Raw genomic sequence first — 10790 nt, 5'->3', positions numbered from 1 at the left:
TACATCCTACTTTCTATAACTTAGATGGTCAGATGACCACTCTTACCTGCAAGGAAGCATGGGCAATGTGAATTTTATTCTGAGTGCCCACATGTCCTGCTAAAATTGGAGGATGCTGTTCTTAAGGAAAAAAAATCACAACCAGCAGTATCCATTTTAAGAGGGAGCATCCTTCCTTATTACATAGTCACCCCAGTTGATAAAACAGTTGGGAGCAGATTGCTCTGGTTGAAGCAACAGTAGTTTCTGGAGTCCTGCCCACTCAGCCTTCTATACCTGTGCTCTGGTCCTTGAGACGGTGATAAGAAAAATGGGACTACAGAGCTCAGCTGGAAAACCATTGTACAGAGATGACAGCTTGCAGCTCAAAGGGTTACCTGCTTCCTGCTTTTGACAAACACATTTACTTATTTTTCATGATAAATTTAAAACTTATGGAAAAATTAAGGAATAGTATAGCAATAATAATATGCCTGCTACCCAGATTCACCCTCATCACATAAGGTACCAGTGTTGTTTAAAAAATATAAGGCATTTTGGATTCTTCTAGAATTCCTTTGAACCACCACACAGCCTCATTGTACACTTTCTTCATGTCTATGGCCAACACTGCTCTCCCCAGCTTGTATCATAATACTGGGAGGTATCCTTCTAGCTCATTATTTTTCCCAATTAGCTAGAGTCCATATTTATTTTTATTTCCTTTGTTCTTACCTAATGTCCTTTTTCAGTACCAGGATTCCATACAGGGATGTCACATGATATTTAGGAGTTTACTAGTCATGTCTCCTTTGGGTCCTCTTGTGGTGACAGATTCTCATACTTTACTCGTTTTTGATGGCTTTCATAATTCTGGTTAGGTATTTTATAGGACGCCTCTCTACTTGGATTTATCTGCTGTTTTTGTCACGACTAGGGTTATGGAAAGGTTTGGTGGAGGAAGACCACAGAGGTAAAATGCCATTTTTATTATGTCATACCAAGGGTACATTTTATCGACATGATTTATGACTGTTGATACTCACCTTAATCACCTGGCTGAGGTAGTATTTGCCAGATTTCTCCATTGTAAAGTTACTCTTTTATCCTCCTTTTTCCATGCTGTACTCTTTGGAAGGAAATCAGTAAGCCCAGCTCACACTGAAGCAGTAGGGAATGAAGCTCCCCTGCCCCAACTTGAGGAAGGAATATCTTCTACATCTAGGATATAGCATTTGGAATGCTTCTGTGTGAGGGATTTATTGCTTCTCTCCCATTTATTTATCCAACCATTTATTTATGTCAGTATGGATTCTCGGTTATTTATTTTATACTTTGGGTCCAATTCTACTTTATTTATTTTTGCTCAAATTGTTCCAGCTTAGAACATTGGGAGCCATTTCAGGTAGCTACTATTTCCCTTTGACACACCCCTAACCTCCCAGGGTCATTTTATTTAGTTATTTACTTTAGCAATTCTTTATTTTCTGGTACTACAAGTTGCCCCCAGGCTCATTATGTCCCAGTCAGAGAATCAGCCATCTATTCAAGAAGCCCTGATTTCTTTATTGGAGGATTATACAAAATGCTTTTTTTTTCTTTTATTGGAGGATGTCTATACACACATATACATATATACACACACATATATGTATATACATATATACATATATATGTAGAGGATTTTCATTTTAACAGGATTTAGTTGTGAGCTAACAGCAATACAGTTCTAATTGTGGCATTTTTTTTAGCATTAAAGGAACAGGTGATAGAATACTTAGGGGGTGGTCCTTGGGGCTACTGGCCCCTACCACCATCACAATGTGAAAGCAGTCACTTATTCAAATAAGGGACTTCAAACCTTCAAACTTTCTTTGAGTCATAAACTCCTTTTGGGAAGCTGCAAAAGGTTAACAGATCTTTTGCCCAGGGAAAGAAAAAGCATAAACAAACACACACAGAATCTGCCCAGGATTCCTAATGTTCATAGGCTCCTTGAAGTTCTGACTTAGGGCAGCCGGTGACTCCTGGACAGGGGACCAGGTGTAGTGGAAGGGCCAGGATGGCCACGTGCCTTGGTTCTTGGTTGCTGTTTTTCTCAAGCTTCATTTTCATTGTGACCTCTTTTCTGGCCAAGGAAATTGAGTCATTTAACAAATAAATAAAAAAAGTCTGATTTAATATTATAGTTTCTTCATTGGTTGATTACAAACATTTTATTTTAAGCTGCTCCTTTTATGTACAATCATGATGGAGTTGTTTTGGGTACTTTTTTGGTTTGTATGATTTAAAGAAAAAAATCAGAGGTAATTTGCATGGTTTCTTTAATTCATATCTCTTTGAATTTTGTTTGAGTCACTTCCTCTTTGCATCAATGGTTCCTATTTAAAACCGGTACAGTGAGAAGAAGGGTATATTTAGCATAAAGTTGTGCCTGTGAGAGCCGACATCAGTGTAGGACCGAAAGAGTTAACTGAATTAAATCTCAGTACATTTTTCTGAAGCTGTTTAACACTGATTATTTCAAGGTGGTTTTTATAATCACTTCCAAATGTTTTAATGAGGCTGTTTTTCATTTTTCACTAGACTTCTTTAAAAATTTTTTTCCTTTCCATATTGATTTTCCAGCCACTTTCCTTGATGCCACCATTGGCAGGCCCCTCCATGCACTTTTACAGTTTGTTCCAGAAGCTTCCCTCCACCTCCTGGCCCCATCTCTCTTCCTGTCTCCTGGGTGCTCTTTATCCGAGGAGGATGCTCTTCTGGTCTGATTCCTCCTGGTTCCTCTTGCAGCCTGAGTCCTAGGCCATGTGCAGTTTTTATTTCACTCTATCCATCTTAGCTACCTCCTGTTGTCATTTTAGGTTTTAAAGATCCCTCTGGAATAGAATCTATAAGACTTTTTTATTTTATCGAATTTTTGATTATAAGCATTGGAGATCTGTTTAATCATACGCGCCTTCCTTTGATTTCAAACTTGGCCTCAGAAGCAGTTGCTTCCCTTTCCCTATCTAGGTCTCCCTGGCCTGGCACGGGGCCCCTTCCCTACTGTATTAGGTAGCAATGGTCAATTAGGCTGCCCAAAGAAGACAGGGCTGTGACACTTGTCCCATGCCACAGCTTTCAGACAGTTCTGTGTAAACACACGTTACCAGCCAGCCCAGGCTGATGTCAGAGATTAGTCAGAATGCGCCTGCCATTCCTTCAGAGAGAGGTCCTGTTAGGTCATGATAAACAGCCACAAGATTTATGGCTTCCCAAAGAGGAAAACCAATTCCCCAGACTATCTCTGAGAGTGATATCTGTATGCTGGACACTCTTCTCCTTGCAAACATCATGATGCAGAAATGAGATCGCTCATCAAATGTGTTGCATCTTGGTGCAAGAGTGTTGGGTGTTTTCTAAAAGGTAATGGTAATAAATGGTCCTGTTTTCCCTATTTTCTTTTCCTTACTCTTCTATTTGAATCCAGGGCCTATTCTCAATTTAGTTAAAATCTTTATAAATATAGCTTCCCACCCCTCCGAACTAAATTACTTACATAAGCTTATTGAGAGATGCTGCATTTTTCTTTTGAAATCAAAGTAGTATATTTGTTTTTAATGGAGAAAGAAGGTGTGTCTCAGGTTGATGTCATGGTCTCTGTCAAGGTTATCAGAATTAAAAGCATTAATATAGTGTCCTTTATGTATGTGCTTGGGTAGTTAAGCTTGCTAATTGACTATTCCCCCAAAATGAGAAACTATTTATACATTAATGATGTTAAGTAGTTCTACCACTCAGTAGAGGAGAAGGCAAATTAGGTACTTTGTTTTTTTAAAAAAAAGTTTTTAAAATTTGGATTGTGGTACAAAGTTAATGTTAATTTTCAAGACCAAATTGCTATTTTTCAATGTAGTGGTAATACTAAAATAACAATAAATTATGGACAAATAATAAGAATCCACATTTTCCTAGGAACATTCAGATGGAACAATATGAATTGTCAAATCACTTGGATAAATACCGTCCCCAAAACCCAAATGTTTTCTTTTCACATATCTAAACATGTGAGTATTTGGAAATGTCAATTTAGGGTTGATATTTTTCTTCTTTCAAGCAGATGTTTGGCACCCTGTGAACAGGACAGCGTGTGTGGCTAAAAATTATGTGTTAAATGCATTGAAGGTTGAAGGACAAAGGCCGATTTGAAAAGAATCTTTGGAAAATCACAGTATCAGGGTCTCTGTACCATGAACTGGGTTCCCAGACAATATCCGCTGATGATTTCTTCATGAATGCCCACAGAAGTGATTGATCTGACTCTAGTCCTAGTCGGCTTGAGCTATCCAAACTCAAGAAAAAAGTGTTACTTGAATCTGGGGTCTTTTATTAATAAGATCAATTGGCATAAAATTTAATAATTGGGAAAGGATACCAAAAAGTAAGATAAAATGGGGGTTCTAATGAAAAACAGATACCCATCCCCAAGGAAATAAATGTGAGCGCGGATGTAATGTTAATGCAAAGAAAAGGGGAAAATGTGTATTTGCTGTGCATAGTGGTGAGCTCCCTCCTAGGGCTACGTCCTGGCTTCCAATTCTGTTCCCCCTATTATCTCTAACTCAAAGCTTCTGCTTTTGGAGCTGAAATTCTCCATGCTTTACTCTACCCTAAGGGAATGCATTCAGTTTTTCTGGAAGTTTTTATTTTGTGAAAGCTAAATCTCTTTGCTTTTATCTCGGCAATGATGTATTTTAACAAACGCAGGGCTGGCAGTCCCAGCAACAATTAGTCCAGCCTCTGCCTGGTCCTGCAAGGGGATAGGAAGCACCAGCTCACTCCCACTGGCGTCTGTATCCTCATTAATGTTTTTTCTTTTCTGACATGCTTTTCTTTTTTGGTTCTCTAACTGTGACCAATCATGGGGTCAGCTTGAGTTCTGCTTGTTCCATAAAGTCTTTCTTAGGGATTCTGTTCTCCTTGTTCTCTCTTTGCTTGGATGCTGAATGACACTGGCTCCTGATTGAGCCCTTGGCTATATACTATCTTCTACTTCTTTCTCTCTTTCTCTCATCTCACATATGTTAGCTTCAGTCTTATCAGCTAGACTGTAGGCAGCTTGAGAGACAAGAGACTCATCTTCCAGGAGGTCTCTTCATAACCGCACTCATGATAAGGGGCATGAAATTTTTACTGTTTCCACATCTCCCCTGTGGGCTTGATGGACTTGGGTAACAAAGAGGGTCCTTTTTCTTGAGAGGAAAGAGGCCCTGAAGAATGTATTGGAAAATATTCTCTAATTATGTTGTTAATAGATTATAAGAGATGACTGGGGTTTCTGAGAAAGATATCACAAGTTATTAACTGTCCACTGTTGTGAATAACTATCAAATTCCTGAGACCGATTATTTTGGGCAAAATTAGCCTAACATTATTGTTTCAGCAAAGTGTCTGACAATACTATCTTTTTGTAATCTTTTGGGACATGCAAACTGAGTTAGATCGGTGCTTTACAGATTGTTTTTCCATGTGCTAAAATCAGTTATACTTGCATTTTTAAAATGTGGCTTAAAAAATTCATAGTGCTATTTTCCCAACTGGCACATATCCCTTATGGCACTAAACCACATTTCTGGGGTAAGGTGGATGAGATGTTTTAGGGAGATGCACCAATGGACATTCTTAAATAAAAACATTTATTTTATAGATGCAGGCAGTGGGTACATGTGCAGGTTTGTTACGTAGATATATTGCATAGTGGTGGAGTTTAGGCTTCTAGTGTACCCATCACCTGAATAATTAACATCATACCCAATGGTTAAGTTTTCAACTTACATCCCTCCACTCACGTTTCCCCCTTTTGGAGACCCTCAGTCTCTGTTATTTCTCTCTGTATGTTCATGTGTGCTCATTGCTTAGCTCCCAACTTACAAATGAGAACATGTGATATTTAGTTTTCTGTTCCTGAGTTATTTCACTTAGGATAATGGCCTCCAGCTCCATTCATGCTGCTGCAAAAAACATGATTTCATTCTCTTTTATGGCTGTGTAATATTCCATTATATATATATTATGTTATATATATAATATATATATAATATATATCACATTTTCTTTATCCAATCATCCATTGATGGATACTTAGGTTGTTTCCACGATTTCACTATTGCAAATAGTGATGCAATAAAAAATGCATGCAGATGTCTTTTTGATATAATTTCTTGTCCTTTGGGTAGATACTCAGTAGTGGGGTTGCTGCGTCAAATGGTAGTTCTAGTTTTAGCTTTCTGAGAAATCTCCACACTGCTTTCCATAGAAGTTGTACTAATTTTTATTCCCACCAACAGTGAGTAAGTGTTCCAGTTTCTCTGCATCCTCAACATCTGTTGTTTTTTGTCTTTTTAATAATAGCAATTTTGACTAGTATAAGATGGTATCTCATTGTGATTTCAATTTGCATTTCCCTGATGATTAGTAATGTTGAGCATTATTTCATATGTTTGTTGCCACTTGTATATCTTTTTTCGAAAAATGTCTGTCACTTTTAAATGGGGTTAGTTGGTTTTTTTCTTGTTGAGTTGTTTGAGTTCATTGTAGATTCTGGATATTAGTCTTTTGTTGGATGCATAGTTTGCAAATATTTTCTCCCATTCTTTAGGTTGTCTGTTTACTCTGTTGATTATTTCTTTTGCTGTGTGAAAGCTTTTTTTTTTTAAGTACCATCTATTTTTGTTTTTGTTGCATTTGTTTTTAGATCTTAGTCATAAATTCATTGCCTAGGCCAATGTCCTGAAGAATTCTCCCTAGGTTTTCTTCTAGGATTTTTATAGTTTCAGGTTTTACATTTAAGTCTCTAATCCATATTGAGTTAATTTTTGTATATAGTAAAGGATAGGGTCCAGGTTCATTCCTCTGCATGTGGCTATCCAATTTTCCCAGCACCGTGTATTGAAAAGGTATCTTTTCCCCAATGTATATTTTTGTCAACATTGTTGAAGATCAGTTTGTGGTAGCTATGTGGCTTTATTTACTGGTTCTCTATTCTGTTCCATTGGTCTATGTGTCTATGTGTCTTTTTTTTTTTTTTCAACTAATACCATGCTCTTTTGGTTACTATAGCCTTGTAGCTTGTAGTATAATTTGAAGTCAGGTAATATGGTGCCTCCAGCCTAGTTCTTTCTGTCTAGGATTGCTTTGGCTATTCTGGCTCTTTTTCAGTTCCATATGAATTTTAGAATAGGTTTTTTCCTAATTCTGTGAAAAAAGACCTTGGGAATATGATAGGAATTGCATTGAATGTGTATATTGCTTTAGGCAGTATGGTCATTTTAACAAGATTAATTCTTCCAATCCATGAGCTTGGGATATTTTTCCATTTGCTTGTGTTGTCTATGATATCTTTCATCAGTGTTTTGTAGTTCTCCTTGGAGAGAGCTTTCATATCCTTGGTTAAATGTTTTCCTAGGTAATTTGTGTGTGTGTGTGTGTGTGTGTGTGTGTGTGTGTAGCATAAATGGGATTGAGTTCTTGATTTGGTTCTCAGCTTGAATATTATTGGTGTATAGAAATGCTGCTAATTTTCATACATAGATTTTATTACCCAAAAATTCACTGAAGTCATTTATCAAGTCTGTGAGTCTTTTGGAGGAGTCTTTAGGGTTTTCTAGGTATAAGATCATGTTATCAGCAAGCAGAGATAATTTGACTTTCTCTTTTCTAATTTCGATGCCTTTTATTTATTTATTTTTTTGCTTGATTGCTCTGGCTAGGCCTTCTGACATTTTAGATTTTAATAATATTTTAGTATGAACTAGAAAAGACTTAGAAGACAAATAAAACCTTAATTTCACTGGCTTTATTTCTTTGGATAAAATGTGTAAGACATTGTGAACCAGGTTAAAGAAAACTATCAAATATTTAAGTATTTACTTACGCTTTTAGTTGGACAAACAGATACAGCCAAAATTGTGAATTTAATAGAAGGGAGCAACTTAGAGAAAACACAGCTCAAACCAAGACTAGATCATTCAAAAAGAGGGGAAAGAATAGCTGTTTATTAGCACCCATCCAGTGAGAGAGATATATGCACCTAGTATGGTGCTGACTCCATTGCCATTGGTGCATTCTCCCAAGGGCCCTCTGCATGCTGTACCCATAATGCTTACTATACATATACATATACATACATATACATATACATATACATATACATATACATATACATATACATATACATATACATATACATAGTGCTCACTGTAAGTTGAACACAGCCTGAAGCCATTGATGACCAGGTTGTGTGTCTGGCAGCATGATTAGAAGAAAGAGTGAATATTTTTCTAAGCTCCATACCTTGGCATTACTACATGCTTGTGTGTCCTATAAAGTATGTCACAAAAAATCTGTTAATGAGAAATATTTATTGTACCAAAGTAGATAGGACTTCTCTTTTGTTATAAGCTAAAGCAGAGCCTCTTACATCTCTGTAAATATCATTGCTTTCACTCAGGTGTAATACTTTTTCTTGAGTGGAAGAGAAAATATGGGGAGATACAGGAGAGAGCTGGAACTATCCCTGCCTCTGGGTGTATCTTAAAAATTGTGTTATATTTGGGGCCATCATCCATTCTATGTGGCTGCCATTCTAGAGCATCTTATCATAAACCCTACTTCTTCCTCAGCTGTGTCTGAACACATGATTTATTTCTATGCTTTAAACAACAATGTACTTTTACAATTTAACAGCATCTAATTGACTTTTTTACCCATGGTCATAAAAATTGGCAAATTAAAGGAATAATTCTTGCTCTTTCTAAGTATCACTTTGAATGGCTGAGAATGAAAGAAGCTGATAAAGGGCAAATCACACCAGGCAAGTGACTTGGCCAGCATTACACTAGGCTTTCCATGTTACAGAACTCAGCGACTATTTTACCAGAACCCAGAGACTCATTATAGACTTCGTTGTTTGCTGGAACTGAAAAATCTCCTTTCAGAAGAGCTGTATGAAGAATTAAGAGCTGCCATTCTTCTGCTTTAATGAAGCTACTGGTAGAAATAGGAAGCTACTGGTAGAAATAGAAATAGAAATAGGAAGCTACTGGTAGAAATAGGAATTAGTACGTAGTGGGGATTCTAAACTGTCAGCTTCCCCAGGCAGGTACCATATCTTATTCATGTAGGGATTTTTGGTGTGTAATGCACTGTCTGGCCTATGAAAATACTCAATGGATGTTTGATGGATGTATATGAGGCAAACACAGTGTTATAGAAGAAGCCTGGGGCAGAGAAACAGCTGAATCGCGTTCTACCACCCATGCTGCCACCAGCAAGCATTTGACATTGGAGAAATTACTCCCGTCTCTGGAAATCTACTTGAGATTTATCCTATATCTCCAGAATGTGGGCGCTTAGAATATATAATTTCTAAGTTATAAAAATGTGCTTATATTTCAGATTATGTCCATTGATAGATCATGCCTATATGCAATAAAAAAATTAAAAATAACCTCAACTATTTCCTTATGTTGAGTACTTACCATGTGCCAGATACTTTACTAAGGTGTTCCATATATTATTTAATTTGATTATCCTATCAAACATGTGGGAGTAAACTTTGCAATTTCCATCTCACAAGTAAGAGTACCTTGAATTTAGCACTGTTACTTTCTGAAGACATCAAAGCTAGTAAGTGGTGGACACTGGATGGGAGTCCAGGACTGTGTGACTTGTCAGTGTTGGCCCTAAACCAATTTACTGCCTCCCTAACTATGAGTAGTCAATGTTACCAGAGACTAATTATATGTTTATAGCTGGCCATGCCACTAATTGAAAAAAAAATGGTGAAAAAGAAGGAGGAAGAGATATGAGGGGCAGAAGATATGACTATCTAGTTTATTATTTATTAATTAGATTTAAACATACTTTATTACTGAAAAAGTAATCTCTAAGGACGAGAAATTTAAAACCCGGTGATATGATTGTTTAAACTTTGTTTCTTTTCACTGACTTCAGTAGATCATAATTATTTTCCATAACTCTGATACTAAAGTGAGTATTTAATCAATGTGTTAGTAACTTTTTAAGCAAAGCAAAACATTAGTATAGGCTGAAACAAGAATTCTTATCATTCCCATTCACTATGAACTCTCCATTAAGCACAATTGGATAATAATGTAGTGTGACCATGGCTGTTCTCCGTCTCCCTTTGCCTCCATTTCAAGACAGTAGTTCTCATAATCTCAAATGTATTCATTTGAAATCATGAATGCTACAGAATCACTAAAACCAACACTTTCAAAGTTTACAGATCATTAATTGAACTTAAGTTGATTTAGTGATTCCAATATTGCAATTATCCTCTACTGAACTCTTCAGTAGGGAATTTGAAAATACTGAAAGTAAAGTGCTGGTTTAGAACTGGAATCTAATATGGATAGCCTTCTTGTTTTCCTTTCCTCCCTTCATCTCTCCCTATCTTTCTCCTTTCTTCCCTTTCTCCTTCCCTTCCTCCTTTCCTTTCTTCCTTCTTTCCTCCTTTTTTTCTTTCTATCTTTCAGCTGAGCTAGACTCAGTATTACTTCTGCCCATAGACTGCTTGGATTAAAACATTTGAAGAAATTAAAACAATATTTCTGGCTACTGTTCTGTCTTGATACAGAAGCCTTTGTATAATAACAAACATTTCTTCTGATGACAAATATCCTGCATTAAATGTTTATTAAACAAGTTTTAATTCTTAATTTATGCATGCAAGGTTGAAATGATACAAAGGAAAACCAAAGGAATTTGGTTATGAAGACACATTTCAACTTGCAAAACCTCCTAGG

The sequence above is a fragment of the Homo sapiens genome, chromosome 10 (genome assembly GCF_000001405.40).
Source record: "Homo sapiens chromosome 10, GRCh38.p14 Primary Assembly".
NCBI classification, from domain to species: domain Eukaryota; kingdom Metazoa; phylum Chordata; class Mammalia; order Primates; family Hominidae; genus Homo; species Homo sapiens.
Note: the sequence above shows the minus strand (reverse complement) of the source record.